Genomic DNA, 25,535 nt, shown 5'->3' with positions numbered 1-25,535 from the left:
GAGTTCCTTATGCTTATGACCACCTGTCGATGTGTCCACTGGATCCAACCAGTCTGGCCTCCGGACCGGACTCCCAGTGTTCAGGGTCCCCAATATGTCTACCCCCTGGAGATCTGGCCTCCCTCTCCCTAGTCACCCTCCCTCCTGTCTGTCCCTCATTTGAGTGCATAACCTCGCGCCAGACCCCACGTGCATCCCCAGGCCACCACTCAAGCCTGCACCCCTGCAGTCTGTCCTTGCACAGTCGGCTCCCTTGTTCACTTCTTTATTCATTCACTACACGCAGGTATCCTGCCCCAGGTGTCCCTGCACACCCCCTCCACCATTTTGTAGATCCCAGCACTTCCAGGAAGTGCTGATGCAGCCTGGGTTGGTGTTCCTGCTGTAGGTAGCTGGGTAGTCTTTTTCCATGTCTCCTTCCTCATCCTCTCTCTTCCTTTGAGTCCCGGCAACTGGATGACCATCCGGGGTCCCTGGGGTATGGTCTGCACTGCCACTGCCCAGGGCCAAGTGGTGGTGACCAAGGTCAGCTGTCTGTGACCTGGACTGTGGGTGAGAGGCCTCTGGACAGGAGAAGGTGGGTTGAACCAGGCCAGGGAGGTGACCGTAGGGGCTGGACTCGTGGTTTTCAAACCATGCACCTCAGAGCACCCAGGAACGCCAGCAGAGGGGCCTGGGGGTGCCCATGGGTGAGGCCGGGAGACCAACTGTCTGCTTCGCCCAGGACTGCAGGGGCTTCCTTTTTTGTTTGTTTTGAGACGGAGTCTCGCTCTGTTGCCCAGGCTGGAGTGCAGTGGTGTGATCTCAGCTCACTGCAACCTCCCCCTCTTGGCTCAAGCGATTCTCCTGCCTCACCCTCCCGAGTAGCTGAGGTTACAGGTGTGCACCACCATGCCTGGCTAATGTTTGTATTTTTAGTAGACGGGGTTTTGCCATGTTGGCCAGGCTGGTCTCAAACTCCTGACCTCAGGTGATCCACCTGCCTTGGCCTCCCAAAGTGCTGGGATTATAGGCATGAGCCACCGTGCCCAGGCAAGGGGCTTCCATTTTTAAGCCAGGGTGAGGTGGTTGCCCCAGGTGAGGTGCCTCCATTCCATGAACCCAGATGCTTCCCCTTCACCCATTCTATGGTGTGACTCCATGTGGGATGTTACTTGCAAAACATCCAGCACTGGTTCAGGACGTGCCTGCTACAGTATTTGGGACAGAGCAGACTGACGTAAGCATAAAAAGATAAGACGGATAGATAGAGAATGGAGAGGGTGGTGGGTGTGAGATAAAGCAGGCTGACTTCAGTGTGAGCTGTGGACACACAAGGCTTTGATGTCCAAAGGCTGCATCTTTTCCAGATGTTTGAAAATTTTCCTAATGGAATGTTGTAGAGGACAAACACTTGAGTGTCATGGCTGAGGCCTGGGAGTGTGTCTGAGAAGGGCCGGGTACCCAGGCTCCAGGGCCAGCCTAGCTTACAGCCAGGGAAGTGAGCAAGAGGTGTCTGAAAGAAGGAAAAGCAAGAGTAGTTGAATGTCCTTTTTACTTGGAGACTTAGAATGAGGAGAAACAAAGGAATCCACTTAGAGCTTGCTGCTTACAAAACAGGGACTGGCCTGGGGGATGCGGCCATTTCCAAGGCTCATCCCTTCTCCGAGGCTAGATGCTGGATTCATTTTGGGGGCTGTCACTCTGCCCACCCCCAGAACACTATGACCAGCATGGAGCCGGGACCACCTCAGCTCGCAGGCTCGGGGCTGGGAGGGGCGGCCTTGTCCCTGGTCTCTAGATAAAGCAGAGAGGTGGACTCCCAAGTCTGAAGCCTCCATTCTCAGGGTGCTGAGTCAGCCAGTTCTGTGCCCCTCTCACCCTCCTCCCGGGTGGGCCCTGGCCCACCACCTTCCTGAGTATGGCCAGGGTGCAGGTGGCCAGCTGCCAGGCCAGAGGTGGCTCCAGCATCCCTGGCCTCTCACAGCCCTGATGGGACCCCTCCCTTGACGGGCCCTTGTGGATTTGGGGTCAGGATGGGCTTCTCCTGCCTCCTGTGGACCAGAGGGCCCCTCCAGTTCGTTGAATTGCTTCCTGAGAGATTTCTCCTTCTGATAGCACCAGGCCACCAGAAGGCCTGGGCCACACAGACCCTGCCTGAGGAGGGTGGAAAGCTGGCAGGCAGCGGGGAGCTCCTGTGGGGCCAGGGAGCAGTGCAGAGGAGGGCCCTGGAGGCTCACTGGGCCACCAGATTTTGGCTGGGCCTTGAAGGATCAGTTGGGTCATTAAAAAGAAAATCAAATATAAGGCTGGGCATGGTGGCTCATGCCTGTAATCTCAGCACTTTGGAAGGCTGAGGCAGGTGGATTGCTTGAGGCCAGGAGTTCAAGACCAATCTGGGCAACAGAGCAAGACCCCATCTCTACAAAAATACAAAGGTTAGCTGGGTGTGGTGGCACACACCTGTAGTCCCCGCTGCTTGGGAGGCTGAGGTGGGAGGATCACTTGAGCCCAGGAGGACAAGGCCACAGTGAGCTCTGATTACACCAGGCTGGGTGACAGAGTGAGACCCTGTCTCAAAAAAAAAAAAATCTAAATTGCACAGGCACTATCCCCACACCAGCCCCCAAAAGCTCCTAGGATCCAAATTTCTAATCCAAGGAGAATGCAGATGCCCGGAATCCATCAGTGCTTGGGAAACTATGACCTGTAACTTCCTCCTCCCACACCCTGTGGGCCAGGCTTGCCTGGGACAAGGGACAGACAGGCCTGTCTCAGGGTCTCGCCAGGGAGTATTGGCTGCAGTGAGTGGGGGAGGGGCTCTGCAAATGGAGAGTGAATGAGAACCCCGTCTTCGAGATCGAGTGTCCCCAGGGTCCTGTTCTCAGCGCAAGTTCTCAGGGTGCATCAAATACAATGCAACCTGGACTCCCGGATCCCACCTTGGAACGTGAAAAGGATGTTCATGCCCAAACTGGGGAGGTCAGTCTGCGTTAGCCAATGGCAAAGCCCCCGTGCTGTTCTCTTGCTTTGTATTTTTTGTAGAGATAGGGTCTTGCAGCACTGGGAGCCAGCAGATACTCCCTCTCACTTTCCTGCTCATGCTGGCATTTCCTGACCACCTCTGAGTTCCAACACCTAAGCTTCTCAGACCCAGAGAAGGAGAAGGATCTGAAGGCCAGGCTGCCACCTCCAGCATCTTGCTATGCAAGCTCCAGGGGCCCGAGCCACCGCTGTCTCCGCCAGCCCACTGCCATGGCCTTTATTATTTGTTAAATTTTATTAATTTACTTTTTTAGAGATGAAGTCTTGCTCTGTCGTCTAGGCTGAGGGCTCACTGCAGCGTTGACCTACAGGGCTCAAGGGATCCTCCCATCTTAGCCTCAGCCTCCCAAGTAGTTGGAACCACAGGCCTGTGCCATGATGCCCGGTTAACTTTTGTATTTTTTGTAGAGATGGTGTCTGTCTATGTTGCCCAGGCTGGTCTTGAACTCCTGGACTCAAGCCATCCTCCCGCCTCGGCCTTCCAAAATGCTGAGATTACAGGTGTGAGCCACCGCGCCTGGCCACTGTGGTCTTTAGAGAGCTAGTCCCTCCTCTTCCCTCCTCCTGCGGCCTCTCCACCTTTCCAGCACTCTTGTCTCTGAAAGGGAGGCTTGCTGAAGCTGGTTGTTTCTCCCTTCCAATACCCAGCATCGCTCCTCTTACTACCACCACCCAGCCCCTTACCTGGCCTCCACCTGCTGGGCAGAGCTCACTGGTGACCTCCCCACGGGCTCTAGTTATGTGGCTCCCTGAAACCCACAGGACCTGGATAGGTGGCACTGGGACCTCCCAGAGCAGGAAGCCAAGGCTCAGGGAATGGAGCTTTGCCACAGCCACCGGCTAATACAGCAGAACAGGGCTTCCCGCATGTTGGCCTCCAGGGGCCACTGCTTTCTAAGATCCTACAATGCCCTTCAAATGTGTTGATATAGTTTGGATGTGTGTCCCCTCCAAATCTCATGTTGAAATGCGACCCCCAGTGTTGGAGGTGGGGCCTAGTGGGCCCCACCCATTTAGGTCTCAGACGCAGATCACTCGTGAATGGCACAGTGCCCTCCCTGCGGTAATGAGGGAGTTCTCCCTCTGAGTTCATGCAGGAGCTGGTTGTTAGAAGGAGCCTGGCACCCTCCCCTGCCCCCTCTCCCGCGTGTGACACACGTACCTCCCCTTTGACTTCCACCATGAGTGGAAGCTCCCTGAGGCCTCAGCAGATGCCGGTGCCATGCTTGTACAGCCTGCAGAACCCTAAGCCAATTAAACCTTTTTTCTTTCCAGTCTCAGGCATTCCTTTATAGCAATGCAGAATGGACAAGTACACGTATGAAACCCCAGTCCCTGCAAAATAACATTTATAAATGAGTCAGAGATAAATGGCGCAAGTCACACAGACCCTGGACAGCCTCCTTGCAGCTGATGACCCAAGACATCATAGGGCTTCCTGTCCCCAATGCAGCCCCCTTTCCACCCCAGGAGGCCACCCAGGGGGACATGGGTGGTGGCCCTAACAGTTGCACCTGCAGCTTTGGGACTGTTGGAACCTCAGTTTCCCCAACTGAACTGGGCAGTTGTGGTTTAGAACAGGGTCCTCCCAGGGTGGCCCCAGGAGCGTGAGTGCCACAGGGAATGTGTGCTGGGTTCACCCAGGCTGCCTCTAGCTTGGACATTCTAAGGCTGACGGGGAAACTTCTATGGCTTCCTTGAGTCTAAACTTGCTCCATGGCCCCTGTCTGTCTTCATGAGGACTCTGAGGGTCCTTGGGGGCTCCCTTGGGTTGAGTCCCTGGGGAGTCAGCCTTGCTGATAATCACCCTGGGGGGTCAGGGACCTACCTCCACCCTCTAGTCAGTAGGATCCCCAAAAGAGCAAGGTAGTAGCAGGCGCTTAAAGCACATGCGGGGGACAGAAAGGGGCAACATCGGGTGCCCAGAAGGTGACGGGCACAGACAGACCCTGAGCACTGGCTGTCAGTCCGTGGCTCCTGCCTGCTCATGGCCTCAGGCGGAGCAGCCACGATTGGCCACTGTCCTGCCTGGTGCCCTAAGACAAGCGTGGCCCCAGCCAGCAGGCAGGGCCAGGAGCTCCCACTTGGGCTTCTGGGGCTTCTGATGAATTCTCCAATCTCCCCTTCGACCTCTCCCACGCTTTGTAGGCATGCAAACAAGTGTCTGGTCAAGGACGAAGGGTCCTTGCTGAGGATCACTCACACAAGGAACCACAGGTAAGCACTTGGGCGGCGGGGGTGGGGGGGAGGCGGGGGTGGTGGTCTTGCCATCCGTCACTCCCTACTCACTTCCTGGATGCCAACGATCTGGATCACAGTGAGGTCTGGGCCCTGCCTCAGGGTGGTGGGAACAGCAGGGGCAGGAAGGCTGGGCCCAGTCCCCGGGGAGAGGCTGAGGCCAGCCTGCCCTCCCTGCCCCCATGCCCTGCACCCCGAGCCTGTGATTCACCGGATGAGGAATTCATTCCCTCTCCCCTCTCACTGCCAACACCACAGCGTCCCAGGAAGAGTCCATGTTTCCCACGTCCAGCTGCCACACAGCTGAGTGGCTGGAATTCTAACTGCCCAACTGGATGGGACACCAGATATCCCTCTGGCTGTGCAAAATTGGTGTCCCAAGGGAATGTGACCCTGCTCTTCCAATATCTCCAGCCTCTCTTGCTCTGTCCCCTTTCCCTGGAATCCCAGCTCTGGAGGGAACGGCAGGGCTGGGCTAGCAGATCGCAGTACCAGCACCACAAGACCTAGTGGAACCATCGTGTGATCATCCAGAAGGCCCCAGAAATGGAGATGATGCTTAGTGAGTTTTCAAAAACAGAACACAAACTGTTTCTATCCTTAGAAAAACAAAAAGTTGAAAAAGTTGATAAGATCACAGACTTGTCTTTCCTTCCAGATTTTCACTAATGCTGTTAGGTTTTGTTTTGTTTTGTTTTGTTTTTTTCCTAACAATCGTTTGTTTTGAAGGGGAGGCTGTCATATTCACTCAGAACACACACAAATGTAGTTTTATAAAATGGCCCCAGTCCCTAGACCCATGGCTTCCGCCTGTGGCCAAAGTCACAGCAGCCATGCCTCCAGCCCACAAGCACTAATGGTTTTTCTTCCCCACTCCCTCACTTCTGTTGAAAGGCTGGGCAGCTCGCCAGAGGTACGGCAGAGATGCTGGCTGTGACATGCAGGGGAAGAAGGAGGCTGGCCCAGGACCACAAGGCGGGCGGTAGGCCAGCCCAGTCCGGGCCACGCTGGCCTCCCCGGCTTGGTTTGGTCCCATGTGCAATTTCCCATCTTACGTGGCGGCACTGGAGGTGCTACCTAATCCCTGTGGATGGAAGCTCAGGGCAAAGCGTGGGGGCCTTCTCGCAGCCACACAGCTGTGGGGGTCCTGAGTGGCCACCATATCCAGCCTCCACTGTTCCTGTGCAAGTCCTTCTGAGGCTGGCAGGCTCTTAGGTTTCTCAAGTCCAGGCCTGGTGTCTTTTAGCAGTAAAATTTAGCGAACTCAGAGCACCCATGTACCAAGGGCACGGCTCTGTGCTTGCATGTTTGCTGGGGGCGTGGGGACCTCACAGTAATGCTCCATGCAGGCGTGTGGACAGGCCTGGAAGGTGGGCATGGGCTCCAACTCGGGCCCTGTTACTCGCTTGTTTGTTTGCTCTTTCTCTCTTTCCCCTCCTGGGCCTCAGTTTCCCCATCTGTCAAATGGGGTAATGGACCCCTCTCCTACCTGAAGCTCTGAGAGAGGAGGGGAGCAGTGCATGGAATGGGGACACTGATCTCAGGCCCTGCTGCCCTGCTGGATGTCATCTCAGCCTCCTCCTGGCCTGAGAGGGACCCAGTGCACCCCACTCGCGGACCTGCCAGGGCCACCCCTCCAGGATGCAATTTGTGCCCTGAGTCCAGCTGGTCGCCTCCTGGGACCCCTCTGGCTCCAGCACAGCTGCAATGCAGGCAGGTGTGGAGGACCAGGGCAGGTGGGTGTCTCTGCCATTGAGGGTCCTGCTTGGGCAGGTGGGCTTCCCCTCTGTGGGGCCTCTGGAGCAAACATCCTGTTCCAAATCTTTGTCTTCTTAAGATCAGGGCCACTCCATGGGCGGTGATAAGGCTTCCTTCCTCAGACCTGAGGCTCGAAGTGTTTCCCTGTTGGTGGATGACCTCCCATCTCGCCCAGGCTGAGACTGCCCGAGGGCACCCACCTGCCTGGGAGACCCCCAAGGTTCTGGTTTCTTCTCACACCCAGTGGTGGAACTGCAGCTGCCTAGAAGACCACTCTCGGCAGCTCAAGCACCTTGTGAGCCGGCCAGGGTCCCCAGGACTTAAGGCCCCCAGGTCCCTCCTGGGTGTCGGCAACCCTTCCCAGTCCAGGCTGCCCAGCCCTGCCTGGAGCTCTCCCAACCCGCACCTCCTCCTGCCCGCCGGCCCAGCTGGGATTACTGACACATACTTTGAACGAGTCCCAGCAGGCACAGCGGCTCCTGTGCCCGCGGCCACGCACTTGCCAGTTTCCCTGGGCGGCAGCGGCACGTTTTGCCGGGGAAGGAATGTGGAAGCAGCAACGTGAGAGACACCTCCAGGGTGTCACCTGGGGAGGCCAGTAGGGAGGCCAAGGAAGAGGCCATGTGCCCCTCACCAGCCTCAGGGCTGTAACCAGTGAGGGGTGGGGTGGGGGATTGTCCAACATTAAAGTGCACAGCCTGGGCCACGGAGCAAGACCCCATCTCAACAAAAAATGAAAAATACTAGCCAAGCGTAGTGGCACGAGCCTGTAATCCCAGCTACTCACAAGGCCAAGATGGGAGGACTGCTGGAGCCCAGGAGGTCGAGACCAGCCTGGGCCACATGGTTTCTTCTAGAGAGAGAAATGGTTTCTTGTAGAGAGAGAAACCCATCTCTACAAATATACAAAAATTAGCTGGGAGTGGTGGTGCTCGCCTGTGGTCCCAGCTACTCAGGAGGCTGAGATGGGAGGATCACTTGAGCCCATGAGGGTCGAGGCTGCAGTGAGCCAAGATCACATCACTGCACTCCAGCCTGGGTGACAGAGCGAGACCCTGTCTGTGGGGCTGTACAGGTCTCCTTTGTGAATGACATTCCTTTTCTTCGGCCTCGGTAGCTGCAGCTCAGCACCTCCCTGGTACCACTTGGGGCACAGGCTCTCATCCCTAGGGAGCTTTTTCTCTTTGGGAGCCAGAACCAGCCTCCTTGGCACCTGCAACCTCTGCCCCAGCCCCTGCCCCTTGAGCCACAGTCTAATCCTTCTTCCCCAGCCAATAGCCTTCAGAGACATGAAGCGGGTCTTCTGAACAGAAACAGCAACCAGCCCTTCAACTACTCTTAAAGGGGGCAAGTTAGAAGTCTCACGTTTGGGTCAAAAATCCAATGGATGAGGGCTACAGGCAGTGGTCCACATTGAGAGAGCCCCCCCACCCCCATTACTCCAGGTGTGGCTTCAGGCTGGCTTTCTCAGACTAGAGTCCCAACAGAGGGACGTGGTTGGTTTGTTTTTAAATTTCCATTATTACAAAATCCACAGAAATGGTTGCAGCACCGTCAAACCGCTACAATGTCACCAAATCCTTTTTAAATTCCCATTTCTGTTCTGATTTCTTCATGGCAGGTGGCCAAGCATTCACATTTGGGCTCTGCATGGTAGGCCCCACATTGAGAAGCCCCAACGGGGTCCCTGGATGGAGATGGCGGGAGCCCTGTCACCTGTATCTTGGGAGGGCTGCTGGACACCGGAGCTTCCCTCCTCACAGTACGGTGATGTGCACAAGGGACCCAGTGGAAGAAGTGGCCACCGGGCAGTCACCACCCCTAAGACTGGGCTGCTATGACTGTATCTACTCATCCTGCTCTCCCTGCTACAAAAGATTCTAGGAGGCTTATGCGAAGCAAACATCGTTAGAACAAGCCCCGTGAGTCAGAGGGGCAGCTGGCCTCAAGGGCCCAAGCTGGCCAGTGCCTGAGGTGCGAGCACCAGGCAGGAGGAGCTTTGCACTCTGGAAGGGTGCTGTGCGTCCCTGAGGCGGCTACGGATCCTGGCAGTTATGCAGGGCCAATGTCTGGTTGCAGACACTTGACGTGTGGCCACTCCTGACCGTCACCCTCAGGAGGGGTTTGTGTGTGGGCAGCTCTGAGAAGCAATGCCACCCCCAGGGCCCTGAGATCCCACAGCTCTGGGAGGGCTGGCCTGGTGGCTCCACTCAGCTCGTTTCACGAGTTTTATTTGCTAGTGACTGCTGTCCTCAGCACCAGAGGCAGAGACGAGAGGCAGAGACTGCAAAAGACAGAAAGACAGAGATGAAAAGAGATAGAGTGACAGAAACAGGCAGAGAGAGACAGGACAAAGACTGAAAGAGAGAGACAGACACAGAGAGATAGAGACAGAGACGGGCAGAGACAGATACAGGGAAGAGAGAGAGACAGACAGGGAGAAACTGAGAGACAAAGGTATGGAGATATGGAGGGACAGAGGCAGGGAAGAGAGAAACAGAGACAGAGAGACACAGACAGATGCGGGCGAAGGGAGAAGGAAGAAGGGGCTAGGGTGAGGCCAGGCCTGCAGAGGGAGTGGGCCAGTGGCAGGCTAATGTGGAGGCAGGGTGACTCTGGGAGTGGCAACCATCCCTCCTATCACAAGGCCCTTCCCATCTGAGCTTCTGGGTACCCTGGGCCATGTCCCTGCCCTGCTCGACTGGCCCCTCTCAGTCCCCGAAACACCCATGCTGCAGCCACCTGCCCACACACCACACACGTATGCCTGACCCATCATTCCAGCCGAGCTCCTTCTCTCCTGCACCCTTTCCTGGCTCCTGCCTCTCTAAGCTGCCTCTTCACCCGACCCCTCTTCCAGTCAGGCTGTCTCCCCACCACAATGAGGCCCACCAGGACTGAGGACACAGGGGCGAAGTGCCTGGCGGTGGTGCAGTGCAGACACTGGCTGAGCAGGGCCTCCAAGTGTGCTGGCCCTCCAGCCCATGAAGGGCTAGGAGGAGGGGCTGAGCTCTTGTGCCCAGGAGGTTGTTTGCACCCATGAGTGTGTAGGAGAGTGGGGGCCTGAAAGGGCCTACATCTTCTGTTGAGGGCTGTGTGAGGTGCCCTATAAAAATGGAGGTCATGATGTGTTTCTGTCATAGTGACAAGCTCGAGGCCCAGAGGGATGTGAGGGAGACCCTGGAGGGAGCATGAGCGAGGCTGTGGAGCAGGCCAGGGGCAGGCAAAAGGCTGGACACAGCCCACACTGCACTTCGCTGGGACAACTGGGGTGGCCATCTGCAAGCAGCCAGGCCTCTGTGCTTGGGATCCCATAGTCCAGCAGGAGCTGGTGACGGCCGGGCAGAAGGAACGGCCTGAGAGGGAGAGCAGGGCTGGGTAAGGGGTGGAGCTTGCTGTGCTCCACTAGGCAGCGACGGTGGCTATGGCCAGGCCTGGCAGCAACTCCAGGTGGCTGGGAGGGTGTGGGTCCCAGGGGAGGGCCAGGACTGAGAACGGAAGCAGGAGGTGGCCGTGGCGGGAGTGCCACAGCCCAGTCTGGTAAAGGCAGCAGAGGGACTTGAAAGATGAACAAAATCCAGTTGCAAGCCCTGAAGTGGGCTTGGACCCTGGGGAGGCGGTGGCGGGAGGCACAGGCCCACCTCTAGGGTCCTGGTGGGGTCCCTGGGGAGATGACAAGATTCCGTTAACCCAGACATGGGAAGAAGGGAGAGGTGCTCAGAGTGCCCTGGAGTGCGGGTGTGCCTGGGGATTGTTCTCAGATGGAGCCATGGTCTCCTTGCAGCGCAGCTGCCCTGTCCTCTGTCCATGTGGGCTCTTCCAAGAATTCTTGTTCCTGAGAACTCAGCTTAGAAGGGGCGTGCTGGGAGGCTGGGGCCACTAGGTTCCTGCCGTCTGTGGCCTCATGGGACGCAGGTGGGCAGATGCATATGCATTGGTCTGGTCTCCTGCCTGTCTCCTCTCTGTCACTGGATGAGCTCAGAATGGATGCCCCTGGACATCTGTGCAGCTCTGGGCCATTCAGTGTTAGGCTAGGCCCGTCTCTCTGCATTTCAGACCCGCTCAGCCTTGGGACCACTGGCATCTGCTGCGTGGGTATAAGACACCTCTGGGCCACCCAGCCCTGGGGAGGCAGGTGGCCCTTCACACTCTCACAGGGCTGCTGGCCACAGGGACACCTTTGCCTCTCCCTCTGCCAACTTCAAAAGCCTAATTACCCTGATTTGGGCTGTTTCCTGGTTTGTTTCTCCAGGTGAGGAGATTCCCCTTCACTTTCACTTTCATGTGCCGGTGATGGTGGAGGGGGGAGAATCAAGGGGCCAGCGGCTTCATGTTAGGGAGGGGCTGGGGGCACAGGTGAGGAGTTACAGGGAGGCCCCCCACCCCAGCCTGCTCTGTTCCACTGGGGCTCACCAGGAGCCCACCTGGCAGGGGCCAAGGTCCCCTCCTCCCCTGGTGATGCTTAATCTGGGGTGGATGCGGGGAGGCAGGAGAAAGGAGGAGATGCTCTACTGGGTAGAAGACCAGAGAAAGAGAGAGAATCTTCCCCGGCTATTAAGGCTATTAAACTGTAGGATGCCAGCGGCAGGGGTCCAGCAGCAGGGGTCCTGCAGCACTGCGTCCTTCTGTGAGTCTTCTTCCCTATGCTGCCGGGGTGCTGCTCATGCCTGGGGGAAGCCATGTCTTTGCTCCAGCCCGAGCAGCCTGCCTGGGAGCAGAGAGGGGATCAAGAAGGGGGCAGACTTGTCCCCAGGGAGCCAGCCTCCCCCAAGGGGAGGCTGCTTCTCAGGAAGCAGAGAATCCCCAAGTGTGAGAACCCTACTGAGAACAAAGTGGTGGTGGGGATGGGGGAGGGGTCCTCACCACCCACCCCGGTCAGTGTCAGGTGGGGTTCTATGCCCCGCTTCCCTGTGTGGCCAAAGGGCTGTCCTGGACTCTTGATAGGAGGGTGCGGAGGGTACAGGGACTTCACTTCTCTGCTCCTCCTGGCTCCCCTGCAGAATGCCTGACTGTCCCCGAGGGTGTCTCAGGGTCCATTCAGGGTAGAACACAGGGGGCCCAGGTGAAAAGGAGGTATACATGCATATGAGGTGGATGGGGACCGAGGCTAGGAACCCTCAGGGCCGACAAGACAAAGATCCTAGGGCGCGGGGTTGCCAGGAGGCTGGCGACATTTATGGGAAGGGCGCGGGGCGAAGGAGCTTCCTTTTGCGCTCAGGAACGCGGCGGCGGGTTCTAATTAGAAGCCTGGTGCGTAAGCCGGCAGCCCTCGGGGCTCTCTCGGACGGACGCGCTGCCCCTGGCTCCCTGCGGCCGTCTGGACGCGCGTCAGTATCCCCGCACCCCAAGGCGAGCCCCGAGCCTGACCCTCAGGTGGGCCACTGGGCGCAGCAGGTGCCGCACGGGAAATGGGGCACGCGGAAATAGGGGCGCGCGGGGGTCCCCGAAGCGCGTCCCCGCGGCCTCGTGGCCTCTTCCAGGCCCTTCAGCTGCCTAGGGCTGCCCCTTCCCCTCCCCGCTGCTCCTGGCCCGGCGCCCCTACCGCGGGAGCCCCCGCTCCTGAACCATCTCGAAGAGAAAAATTATTATCGGATTAGATGTACCTCGGCTCGCTGGGTCTCCCCCCTTCCCCTCGGCGTAATTATTATAATTCCAGGCTGCCGTCGGAGAAGGATGGGGGGGAGTGTGCATGCTTGTGGGGAGGCTTCTCTCCAACTGTGGGTCCTACCAGCGCTGCGCCCGGCCCTGCGCGCCCACATTCCTCCCACTTGTGTTCCTCAATCTTGGGCATCTCAGAGCGCCCTTAATTCGGAACTGGGGTGATCCTTGCTTGGTGAGGGCTCTGAGGGATCACAAGCCCTGGCGAAAGTGTGGCCACCGTTCCCCCTCCCACAGGATATGTGCAGTGGAGGTGGGAGGCCTGAGAGAGACCTTTCGGGACCCTTCCTTTGGTTTATCTGCACTTCCATCGCCAGGCTGGGGAGGGTCTCACGGAACGCGCCTTTTCTGGTGTGGAGGGCGCAGCACAGCGCTTTCTGATTGAGGGTCCTGGAGCCCCTCACACCCCGTGCTTAACTCACCCTTAACTCTCTCTACAGCAGCCCCTCATTGCCAGGTGGACCCATGCGGAGGGCTCGCAGAGAGGGCCCCTGGAAACCCCCGTGCCCGGACTGCGGCGGGGAGGCGCGCGGGGCCCAGGGCCGGCCCCCAGTGCGCCCCGCCGCCGGCTCTGCGCCACTCCCCGCCGGGTCCCAGCTTTCTTTACGTAACCACGCTGCTCCGAGCTGTTCAGTCTTGTCTCATCGACTTTGTTTTAAAACGTGTGTGTGTGTTTGTGTGTAAGATACGGTTTTTGAGGAAAGTCTCCGGCGAATTCTCTCTCGCTGGCCCTCTTCCCTCGCCTGTCCCCTGGCCTCGAGCTGCCTGTCCCCTCGGTGACCGTGCGTGCCGACCTTCTTTCAGCCTCTCCCCAGCCCACTGCTCGCCCTGTCCGACGCCAGGGGCAGCTAGGACCTCCGCAACCTCCCCTACTCCCCCGCTCGGGAATCAATGTCTCCGGAAACTCCGCCACCCACGCGTCCCAGCGGCCTGAACAGGTCCAAAGTGGCCGTCAAGGAAAACCAACCGCCCGCGGCCCGCACGCGGGGCTGGAGCAGAAGGGCGCGGGCTCGGGCCACCGCGGGGTCCCTGCCCGAGGGGACCGTCTGCTGCGGGCGCGGCGCACAGGGGCAGGGGCGAACGCGAGGAGGCTCACTCACCACCAGATCGGGTAGCTGCCCAGAGCCTGCTTCAGGCTGCAGAGGAGTAAGAAGTATCCGAGTGGGGCCATCGCCGCGCGAGAGGGCGCGGAGGGCCGGGAGTCCGCCCCGAGAGCGTGAGCGCCGGGGGGGGCCGGGCCCTGGGAGCTGGCGCGGCGGCGTCGCTGGGCCCTCCTGCGGCCGCGGGTGCGCGGGTGTGCGCGGGCTCCGAGGGCGGCGCTGCGCCAGGTGGGCCGGCGGCCGGGCTGCGGGCCGAGGCCCGGGGCGGCGCGGGGCGGCGGGGGCGGGGCAGCGCCGCGGGGGGCGCCCGCCGGGGCCGGGGCCCGGGCGGGGCAGGCAGGGGCAGGCGGGGCCACGGGAGCCCGAACCGCGGCGGCGGCGTTGGCCCCCGCCTGCTGCCGTGGGTGTCGGTGTGTCTGAGGACGTGCTGGTGTGCGGGCCCCCAGGTGTGCGCGGCGCGCTGGGGTGCGCCAGATGGGCAGGCGGCCGGCCCGGGGCCGCGCGATCCGCAGGCGCCCTCCTGGAGCTCCCGGGCCGCGTCCTGGGTTTCCAGCCCCGCGCGCCCTGCGCTCACGGTGGGACCCGCAGTCCCCCTCTCGCTCCTGGTCTGTGGCGAGCTCCGTCTCTTGCCCCCGAGGTGGCTGGGCTAGGGCTCCCCTTCATCCATCAACCTTCTCGGGGCGGGGGTTTGGGGAGGGAGCGGACGGTTGTCGGGTGCACGTCCTTTGGCCCCGTCTGCCTGCGGCCGGACTCCTTCCGCTGAGACCAGAGCTGCCTGCGCCTTCGGCGGATAGAAAGGGTCCGGGATGGGTGCAGCCTGCAATGGGGACAGCGGCCAGGTGGACCTCCAAGGTGCAGCCACGCGTCTGTGGGTCACAGCTGGGGACGAGTGGGACTCTCTCTGTGGCGCAGGGATTGACCCCTCCATTTTTCTCCCCATCACTCCACCAGGGAAGAGAACAGTGGAAGCCCCTGACGCGATGGGACGGTGGGGAAGCGCAGTGCTGCCCCCAGGTTCTGGGACCACCAACCTCCAGGTCTGCCCAGAGCTATGCAGCCTGTTCCGACAGAGGGATTTCTGACTGTTTAGTTAAGCTTTAGGAGTTTGCTGATGGAGAGGGGAAGACCTGAGAGGGAAAGTGACTTGCCCAAGGTCACCCAGTGACCAGTCAACTCTCCAGCTCCCAGTCATTTGCATATCCATGTGTTGCCCCGGGAGCCGCCTGGGGAGATTGTAATTTGCAGAGGGGAAGTGTCCCCAGCCTCCCCCGGGGGACCTGATAACTGGGATGGTTAAGAGGCACTCTCCCATCGCGGCTGGTCCTCCTGCAGTCACACTGTGACCTAAGCTCAGCAGGAATCTTGGTTACCGCGTTGGAATTGAGGAAGGAGGCTCCGGGAGCTTCTGAGAGCTCCAAGCAACTCCAGACTCATCCGTGGTGTGTTCTCTGGGGATACTGCACTGCCCAGCCTGTGGGCTAGGCCTCCTGTGCGGCTGCAGAGTTGCGGGAGGGAGGTGCATGGAGAGGCAGGGATGGGCATGTGGCCGCTTCTGTGCAGCTTCTCAGGGAGGGGGTGGCTGAGATGTCCCCAGGTGTGTCACTGGCTGGCTGATGGAGGCAGCTGCTTCCCACAGTGTGCCCCACTCACAACTTGGTTCTGCGTTTGCAGAGGGAGCCTGTGGTCCTGTGGACACCGGCCCTAGGGGTCACCTGGTGACTATGTCAGGAGTCCTGAATTCAGAGTGACAGCCTTTCTCTTTGAAAAAAAGTTCCCTTTGCTCCTCACTACCTTGGGAATCCAGTTTCCGCTACGCATGCCCGGCCGCCCACCCGCTTCTCCCAGGCACTGCGGGGCCCCCACCCTCAGAGGGAAAGAGGGAAGAGCTCTGGAATGAAGCGGCGGTGGGGTCAGGGAGGGGGAGGGGAGGAGCGTGTTTGTGCTCCTCTGGACTTGGCCTTGCAGCAAAAATCCCACCCAATTGTGGTACTGGGGAAAACCTGGGCTGCAGGTGGGGTGGGCGCCTGAGCCCAGCCTGAGGCACGCAGACTCTTGTTACCCCCACCTCCCCAGAAATGAGGCTCGGGGATTAGAGCCCCCTAGAGGATGCCAGCTCTGCCCACCGACAGGATGGGCCTCGTGACCTCACTGAAGGGGGCAGGTGAGCGCAGCCTGCTCAGTCCTGCCCTCTTGCCCCTTGGTTTCCCAAGCCCCTCCTCCTGGCTGCTTTCTTCTCCCCCATCAGGCCCCATCCTCTGCCCGTGCCACCTGGGTAGTACACACACTGAGATCCGGCCGCTTCCCAGGCTGCAGAAGATGAAGGGAGGAGCAGACTCCGAGGCCCCAGGCAGGAGCTCAGCCTGCCCAGGCCAGGCTCTCAAGCGAGGGCTCCTGTTTCTGAAGACTCTGGATACCAGGGAGCCAGGGTAGGCTGCATGGAGGAACGAGCGGAGGCTTCTGGAACTAGCTCCTCGGTACCTGCCTGTACCACGTGGGGCTCCTCCTTCCCTCTGTGAGCCTCCGAGAGCCTCGGCTCCTGAGCAGCCAAGTCAGTGGGGCTGGGCTGGGGTGGGGTGGAGAGCAGAGTGGGAGAGCAAGGGTGGGACCCCAGCTGGGTGTCAGGGGCCTGAGGGGCTTCTCCTGAGTGTCTTCCAGGCTCGGGTGATGTTGCCTACAGCACCTCTTGTCCCTTGCTTGGGGTGCAGAGGAAGGTGAGGGGCCTCCCTGGAAGCGCCCTCTGCTGTTGCCTAAAGGGAGCTGTCCCTGACCAGTCTGTCAAGGTCTATGTCCCCACCTGTGCATTGCGCTGGGGACTGGGATGGCGTAGGTTGAGGTCAAGGCATAGGGCAGGCTCCTGGGGGCATGCCGGGTGGCTGCTGAACGGTGACTGAGACCCGGTCCTGTCTCCACAGACCTCCTTGTTGGCCAGGACACAGACCCACATTCCAACACTTGGAACGGGGAGGTGGGTGAGACCTTTGCAAGCCAGCGTCAGGAAAGGGCTAATCGTCCTCAGAGAGGGCACGTGTGAGAAGGCCTGACAACCGGGCAGCTCTGGAGCTAAGCCCTGAGCAGCCAGCCATGTGTTTGATAAAACAAAACTCCCCATGTATGGATGGTGCTGGAGGGAACATCATTTCTGGCCTGCTGGAGGGCCCAGGGAGCGTGCTCCCTCCTTCCAGAATAGGCCCCCAGGCGAGAGGAGGCGCTGCCCACCCCGGAAGCTCTGTAAGATACCTGCTTGGGTGGGGTAAGCCAGGTGGGAGGGGCATCTCTGATGGACAGTTTGCTGTGTGAGGTAGTGGGTTCCCTGTCTACAGCGGGTGTGAGTCCCTGTTATGGGTGGGGCAAGCCAGGATTTCAGACACTAACTGGTCATCTTTTGCTTCCTTTTTTTCTCATTTGAGCAAAAATAAGTTGGGGGAAAACAGAGAAGGGGTTTGGGCAGACAGAGTTCAAGGCTCTGGGGGCTTTCTGGCTGAGGGACCCTGGAAGGAACAGCAGCAGGACAGGGTAGGGGTCCAGGGTCAGAAGACGGAGTGCCCCTCCACAGTCAGTTCCATTGGAACTTGGTCCCTTCTGGAAGCTTCCCTGACCTTCCTTGTGGGGGTCACTCTTTGGATGCCTTCTCCATAAGCAGTGGGTTCTTGAGATCAAAACTTTCAATTGGCCAGGTGTGATGGTGCACACCTGTAATCCCGGCACTTTGGGAGGCCAAGATGGGAGGATCATCTGGGCTGAGGAGTTCAAGGCTGCAGTGAGCTATGATTGCATCACTGCACTCTAACCTGGGTGACAGAGTGAGACCCTGACTCTAAATAAAATAAAATAAAATTAAATTAAATTAATCAAGAAAACAACTTATAGTCATTCTTTGCCCAGCTCCTCAGGCTAAAATAAATACCTAAGAGCTTTGTTTATTAAGTAATTAGGTCCAACCACTTAATGATCAGTAGCTATTTGAAAAAAAATCATATCAGTTAAAAATAAATGAATCATATTTTTATTTCATCCTCACATAACTGCAGTTACTGGCCCTCCAGAAGCAACACTCTCACTTCTTGTTCAAGGTCCTGGCTCTCAGGCCATACAAGGAGATGTTCATGCAGGACAGGTGACCCTCAAACAACACAGGTTTGCACTGTGTGGGTCACTTATACATGGATTTCTCCTGCCTCTGCCACCCTGACACAGCAAGACCAAGCCCCGCTTCTGTCTTCCTCCTCAGCCACTCAATATGAAGGCCACTAGGATGAAGACCTTTATGAGGACCCACTGCCGCCTCATGAACTGTGAGTCTGGCTTCTTTTCTAGGTTTTCTGAGCAGGAATTTCCTTTCTCCAGCTGAGTTTATTGTAGGAACACAGGGGATAACACATGTGGCATGCAGCGTATGTTCTGACTGACTGTGTGTGGGATCAGCAAGGCTTCTGGTCAACAGGAGGCTGTTAGTAGTTTCGTTTTCAGGGAGTCAAAAGTTATACTCAAGTTTTTGACTTTGCAGGGGGTTGGTGCCCCTAACCCCCATGTTGTCCAAGACTCAATTGTACTTTCTTTAAAACAAATTTTTTTTGCAGGGACGAGGGCCTTACCATGTTGCCCAGGCAGGTCTTGAACTCCTGGGCTCAAGTGATCCTCCCACTTTGGCCTCCCAAAGAGCTAGGATTACAGGCGTGATATTCTGCAACACCCTGGGAATTTGCTGTGGCGTCCCAGGGTGCCTTAGCACACAGTTTGGGAACTGCAGCTGGAAAAACAGCAGCCAGGGCTGGGCCTGAGATGCACAGGTCAGCCAAACAGAGACAAGGAAAATGACGTGGCCACCTGCTTCCCCAAAGCTGCTGTGGTGAGACAGGGTCTCTGGGCCACAGACCTGTCTGCCTCCCACCTCCTGTCTATGGCTGTCCTGTCTTTCTATCAGTCTCTGTGTGTTTTCCTGTCACAGCCGATGAGCCCTCCTGCACAGTTGTGAGTTGCTCTTCCTGTCTGCAGCCCCTCTCTACATTCCTTGTCTGTCCCTCCGCCCCGTCTCCACCTTTGTTGGCATTGTTCAGCTCAGGCACTGTGGGAATTACCTCCTCCGCGTTAATATCACCATGAGAGCCCCCGTGGACATTACTGATGTGGGTATGTCCTGGCAGGGCTTTGCAGGTATGGCTGTGAGCTCAGGGCTGTCTGTCTTCCTGTGGGTTACCTGCCCTCTGTGGGAGGCTGTGTGTGGGGTCTACATATCCACAGCTCTGGGTTCCTGCTGTGTATTTATTCAGACCGGAGTCTGTGGCCTCCCCGTGGCCCCTGCCCAGGGCAGGTCCAGCCCACAGAAGTTGTTGCTCTGCCCCCTTGCCGTGCACGCCAGTCACAAAGCAGGATGGCGGGGGCACCATCCCCGTTTCCCCCTCACAGTGGCACACCACTGCACTGCTTGTCTCAATGAGCATCTCCCACTAGCCCAATCTGGTTACCTGTCTGCTTCTTACCATTGCCCTGTATCTATCTTTCTGAGCTTGCCGTTATATTTATATTTTAAAAGACTTTTCTCCTCTCCAGCCCAGATCTCTTATCAAATTTCCACTTTCCTTCAGTTCTCCGGAAGGTTCTTTTTTATTTGTTTGAGACAGGGTCTCACTCCGTCGCCCAGGCTGGAGTGCAGTGGTGCCATCATAGTTCACTGTAGTTTCTAACTCCTGGGCTCAAGCAATCCTCTTGCCTTGGCCTCCCAAACTGTGGGGTTACAGGGGTGAGCCCCTGCGCCTGGCCTCCAAAAGGTCCTTATGGTAAATGTGGGTTGTCAGATGAGATGATTTCTTGAAGGCTCCTGGAGCGGAGTGATGACAGCGACTACCATGCCCACTGTAGGCCCACTGTGTGCCCGGTGATCCACCAAGCACTGTGTGGTCAGAGGGAAGTGAATTTCACCATGTTCTGGAAGTGGAAAAGGCTCAGTGAGGCTGAATGAGGAGGCATAGCCGCCTGAACCTCCTGGAGGCAGCACAGCAGGGCTGGGCTCTCTCCGAGGCTCACCATTTGTAGAGTATATGTTTCCCTCCAAGACTGGAAGACCGACTGCAGGACTCCAACTCAGAAGGCCATCCTTTCCTGGCTCCAGGGCAGAAGATTGCGCCAGGATGGGGGGCATGCTCGGGAGTCCTTGTAGGCAATGAGGGGGGTAGGTGGACACGAGCCGGTCCTCATGAGCTTGCCTTTCTGAGCTGCCCTGTGGGACGAGGGCAAGGGGCCCAGTGGCCAGACTTCCTAGAGAGTGCATTTGCAGGGGCTTGGGGCACCTCTTTGGGAAATAATTCAGTCTGTTTTGAGACATCACTCTCTCCTCGGGTGTCACCCCTTCAACTACCCATCTTAGAGTTCCATTTTGACCCTTCACCAGATCCCACCTGATGAAAGCAACTGGAACCTTAGGTCAGCCTCTCCTTGTATGGAAAGAGTGGGCTCAAGGCAAAGTGGAAGGAGCAATGGGCCCGCAGGAAAGACCCTGGTCTCCAGGTCCCAGCCTCCAGGGATCCTTCCATACCCCCACACTGCTTTCTTTCCAGGAATGTCTGTTGACTCAAAGCCCTTCGCATGCTGTGCTACGAACGCCACCTTTGAGAAGGCTGACGCATGATGGTTGTGTGAACATCCCTTCACAAATCAAACCATGTGTGTTCTCACAGGCAGCTCTTGGATGCCATAAAAGTCAACTCTGGGGTCCAACAGGCATGTCTTTCTCAGTTGACACCCCAGCCATCCACCTCCTAGCTCCATGCTGTCCTCTCTCCCTTAGGGCATGATGTAGGAGGCACACGATCTCATTCTCATTGCAAGGTGACTTCTTGGACCTGCTCTCCTTGCAGGTGGCCTGGTGATATGTGGGGAATTGTGGACCTCCCTATGAGGAAGAGAAGATGGAATCTGGGAACCATGGAAGTAGGGCCATCAGCCTCTCCCTTTAGCCATGTGGTTAATCCTGGTTGATCCCATGAAATGGCCATGAAATGCTGGAATCATCCAAACACAGAATTATAGGATGCAGGGGAACTGAGTCAGTAGAACCCTCTGATCTTAGAATCTTATGGTTCTTCAAGCATGGACCCATAGATGGAGAGTCTTAGAACCATAAGAAAATCAAATTTGAGAATTAAAAAAAAATCACAATGGGCCAGACAGGTAGTTCATGCCTGTAATTCTAGTGCTTTGGGAGGCTGGGGCCAGCAGATCTCTTGAACCCAGGAGTTTGAGACCAGCCTGGGCAACATAGTGAGACTCCGTCTCTATAAAAAATTAGCTGAGTATGGTGGTATGCACCTGTAGTCCCAGCTATTCAGGAGGCTGAGGTGAGAGGACTGGTTGAGGCCACAAGTTCGAGGCTGCAGTGAGCCATGACTGTGCCACTGCACTCCAGCTTGGGTGACAGAGAGAGACCACTACTCAAAAAAAAAAAAAAAAAAATCACAGTATCATGGAGTTCTGGAATCCTGCAGATTAATTATCCAGAATCCTGGTTCCCAGGCCATAACTTACTTCCCTGTGAAATGAGGGCAATAGACTCCCCAGACTTTCCTGTTGGGAAAGAGCTAAGTTTTGCTGCCACAGCAGCTCTTAGGGACCGGTTGGTGGCTGCTTGCTGGAGTTCCGCTTCTGGGCCAATACTGCCACCAAGTGGAGATGCCAGAGGAGGGCGGCACTGAAGGGGTGCCTGGGTCCAATCTTCCCCTAGAGGCAGTGCCCCTTCTGGGCAAGGTTGTGGGTGACATGAGCGGCGCCTCCTCCCTAGCCCTTGGCTGTCCTGCAGCCCAAGTGGGATTTTACATTGTGGGTATGACCTCTCTCATGGGAATAGTGGTGACCACAACCCCTGCTGAAACCTGCATGACCCAGCTGATCCCTGAGACCACAGGAGATGCAGTGTCACCATCTTTGGAGCATAAGCCAGAGCCAAGGCTCAGAGGCCAAGAGCAAGATTCACAGGGCTGCTGTTCACACATGGGCCTGGGCCTGGGCAGCTTGACAGTCACGCTCCTCCTGTCCACCCCCATCACCCAGGATCATGGGTCTTGGACTCCCTCATCACTGGAGATGCTCTCCTTCACTCTGGTTCACCCCCAACTTCACCTTTAGGGCCTCCCCTTGGCCTTGAAGATCCTGAGCTCCAGGGACATGGTGGGATTTTTAGAACATGATACAAGTAGTGAGTGCAGGTGGTTTATGTGGGAACATGGTTCTAGGGAACAGGAGAGTGGGGGGAACAGGTGAAGAGAAAAAGCCATTGGGGTATCCATTGACTGCCATCTTCCCTGGTCGAAGAAGCTGGGGCCCACTGTCCCTGGCGAGGCACAGGAGACATGGCTCCAAGGAGACATGATGTTTTGTTTCTTACAAGGCCAGTCCATCAGCCCCTTTGTGGGCTTCCTCCCTAGCATCCACCTCCTGCACACCCTTTCTGACTGTCAACGGCACCCTACTGTCCCATTTCATGGAGGGAAATCGAGGCCATCAGCTTCTGTGTCACAACCTGCAGTCTCTGCAGAGAGTTTCTGTCTCTCCCTCCTCAGAGGGTTGCTGAGGTTGTCCTCCAACCCAACGGGTCCAGAAGCTTCCTTGCTGGTTCCTTCCTTGCTGTTCCTTGCTGGTTGTCCTCCAGCCCAGTGGGTCCAGAAGCTTCGGCAAAGCATTTGTTCCTGTTCTGTCCAGGTTCTTCTCATATCAGGCTCAGCAACCACCTCCATACTCTCCTAAATCTTCCACCTGCCCCCTCTACCTGCAGCTTCCTCTTAGTCCAGAAGCTATCAGCTATTTAAAGTGGTATTATTTCTTTCCATTTCCATGTTTTGTTGCAAGTGCTGACTTTTAGTACATTGATGTTGTTTCCTGCAACTGTCCTAAGTTCACTTATTAGTTCCAGCAGACTTATTCTTTTTTGTAGATTTGTTGGCGTTTTCCATATAAACAATTGTGTTACCTGTGAATAAAGACAGGTTACCTCTTCCTTTAAATTCTAGATGCCTTTCATTTCTTTTTCTTGTCTTATTGCACTAGCTAGAAACTCCAGGACAGTGTCAAATAAAAGTGGTGAGAGTGGATGTGCTTGTGTTGTTCTTGATGTTTAGGGAGGAAACACACAGTGTTTTATTAAAGTGTGATGTGAGCTGAAGTTTTTCATAGATGCCACTTATCAGGTTTAGGCAGTTCACAGCTAGTTCTAATCTGCTGAGAGTTTTTATATAAATATTGGAATTTATTAAATGATTTTTCTGCATCTATTGAGACAATTATATGTTTTTATTTAGCCAATTAATATAGTGAATTGCATTAATTTATATTCAAATATTAAACTAACCTTGCATTCCTGGGATAAATCCCACTTGCTCATGGTGTATCATCCTCTTTATATATTGTTGGATTGGATATGCTAAAACTTGGTTAAGAACTTTTGCATCTATGTTCCTGAGAAGTACTGATCTAGAATTTTTTTTCCTTATAATGTCTTTGTCTGATTTGGGCATTAGGGTAATTCTGGCCTCATGAGATACTCATGAGTATTTCCAACTCTTTAATTTTCTGGAAGAGTTTGTGGAAATTGTTATTATGTCTTGCTTAAATGTTTGGTAGAATTCACCAATGAAGCCATCTGGCCTTTAAGTTTCTTTGTAGGAAGGCTTGTAACCACAATTCAGTTCTTTAAATAGCTATAGAACCATTTTGTTTATTTATTTCTTGTGCGAGCTTTGGTAGTTGATGTCTTTCAAGGAATTTGTTCATTTTACAGAAGTTGAATTTATACACATGTAGATGTTTATTCCTGTTTATTTTTTAATATCTATAGAATCTGTAGAGATGTCACCTTTCTAATTATTGAGATTAGTCATTGTCCTCTCTCTTTTTCCTGGGTTGTCTGGATAGAGACAGAAAGCCCATGGGTTGAGCCTGTCTATGGTCTTCCTGAGTTCCTGGCCTATGAATTTTGGACATGTTCAGCCTCTACAAATGCATAAGGCACTTCCTTGTGATAACTCTGTCCTGCCTTCAGGGACTCCACTTACATCTATGTTGGGCTGCTTGAAGTTTTCCCATAGCTCACTGATTCTCTTTTCATATTTGCAGTCCTTTTTTCTATGCTATGTCTTCAAGTTCACTAATTTTTTCTTCTGCAGTGTTAAACTGCCATCAATGCCATTCAGTGCATGTGTCTGCTCAGATATCATAGTTTTCATCTTTGGAAGTTTGATTTGGTGCTTTTAAATATCTACTCCTTCTCCACACATAACATGCTCCATCTTTCCTCTGCCTTCTTGAACATGTGGAAGCACTAGAGGCAATTTTTTGATGTGCTTGTCTATTAATTTTATCATCTGTATCATCATGTTTGTTTCTATTGCTTGATTGATTTTCCTCCTCGTTCATGAGTCACATTTTTCTTCTTACTCACATGCCTAGTAATTTTTGATTAGATGCCAGACATTGTGAATTTTACCTTACTTGGTTCTGAATACTTTTGTATTCTTATAAATATTTTTCAGCTTTATTCTGGAATGCAGTAAAATTACTTGAAAACAGTTTAATTCTTCTGAGGCTTGCTTTTAAGCTTTGTTAGGCAGAACCTAAGCAGCATTTAGTCTAGGGCTAATTTTTCCCCAGTACTGAGGCAATACCCTTCTGATCATTCCACCTGATGTCCTATGAATCACTAGATTTTTCCACTCTGGCTGTTGGGAAGACAAACTGTTGCTGGCACTGTGTGAGCTCTGAAGATTGCTTCTCTAATTCTTTGAGGAAGTAGTTTCATCACATGTGTGCACTGGCCAGCACTCAGGTAGATACACTGAGGAACCCTTCTGAAAGTCTTGGGAGCTCTCTCCATGCAGTCACTCCTCTCTGGCACTCTGCCTTGTGAACCCCAGCCAACTTGAACTCCCTGGACTCAGTCCTCCTCCCTGCTGCAGTGTAAACTCTCTCTAGACAGTGTGGCTAATGCAACTGAGGAACTTAGTATTGAATTTTAAGTTTAATGAATTTCAACTTAAATGTAGGTAGCCACGCATGGCTGGTGGCTACTGCCATGGATGGCTCAATCTCTAGTGCAGCTGGTAGAGAGCCTGGGATGAGAAGTCTCTGCTCTTCCTTTGGGAAATGAGCTCTGCCCTCTCTGCAGTCAGGACATGTGTGAGCTCAGCTGGCTCTGGTCAGCCTGGAAAACCACAGTGGAGAGCTCACCTGTCTATCACCTGTCCAAGGTGGGCTTACGTTTTCCTAGTTCAAGCTGGGTGCTATGATTTGAACATTTGTCTCCTCCAAAACTCATATTGAAATGTAATCCCTGATGTGGCAGTATTGAGAGGTGGAGCCTTTGAGAGGTGATTGAGTCAGAGGGTCTTGCCCTTGTGAATGGATTAATCAATTCATGGATCAGTGGATTAATGGGTCATCATGGAAGTGGGACTGATGGCTTTATAAGAAGAGGAAGAGAGACCTGAGCTAGCATGCTCAGCACCCTCCCCATGGGATGTCCACTACTTCCTTAGCACCCTGCAGAGAGTTCCCACCAGCAAGAAGGCCCTCACCAGATGCACCCCCTTGGTCTTGGACTTCCCATCCTCCAAAACTATAAGAAATAAATTTTGTTTTTTTAATAAATTACCCAGTTTCAGGCATGCTGTCATAAGCAACAGCAAATGGACCAAGATTCAGGGTTTTGCAGCAGAGTTAGCAGTTACCCTTCACTGCAGTACGGCAGATGCTTAGCTGGGCTTTGGTCTCCAAAGA

The 25,535-nt window shown here is 55.5% G+C and overlaps 1 protein-coding gene across 1 annotated transcript in view, besides 3 other annotated features; it reads right to left on the bottom strand.

Moving 5' to 3' along the window:
- Positions 1–13,980, bottom strand: part of WNT3A (Wnt family member 3A) — a 54,274-nt gene extending 40,294 nt beyond the window's left edge. The window contains exon 1 of the mRNA NM_033131.4: positions 13,779–13,980. Within this exon, the coding sequence (NP_149122.1) occupies positions 13,779–13,849 (71 nt within the window). The 5' untranslated portion in view covers positions 13,850–13,980. The remainder of the gene's footprint in view (positions 1–13,778) is intronic.
- Positions 16,417–16,466: an enhancer, noted in NCBI's record as "active region_2687". NCBI's record gives its function as "activates an Ori minimal core promoter by ATAC-STARR-seq in GM12878 lymphoblastoid cells {active_cell/tissue: GM12878}" and the evidence as "EXISTENCE:reporter gene assay evidence [ECO:0000049][PMID:35858748]".
- Positions 21,329–21,378: a silencer, noted in NCBI's record as "silent region_1906". NCBI's record gives its function as "represses an Ori minimal core promoter by ATAC-STARR-seq in GM12878 lymphoblastoid cells {active_cell/tissue: GM12878}" and the evidence as "EXISTENCE:reporter gene assay evidence [ECO:0000049][PMID:35858748]".
- Positions 21,419–21,478: a silencer, noted in NCBI's record as "silent region_1905". NCBI's record gives its function as "represses an Ori minimal core promoter by ATAC-STARR-seq in GM12878 lymphoblastoid cells {active_cell/tissue: GM12878}" and the evidence as "EXISTENCE:reporter gene assay evidence [ECO:0000049][PMID:35858748]".

The sequence above is a fragment of the Homo sapiens genome, chromosome 1 (genome assembly GCF_000001405.40).
Source record: "Homo sapiens chromosome 1, GRCh38.p14 Primary Assembly".
In the NCBI taxonomy this organism is placed as follows: domain Eukaryota; kingdom Metazoa; phylum Chordata; class Mammalia; order Primates; family Hominidae; genus Homo; species Homo sapiens.
The sequence above is the reverse complement of the archived record's forward strand: the minus strand, read 5'-3'. Positions and strand labels throughout refer to the sequence as shown.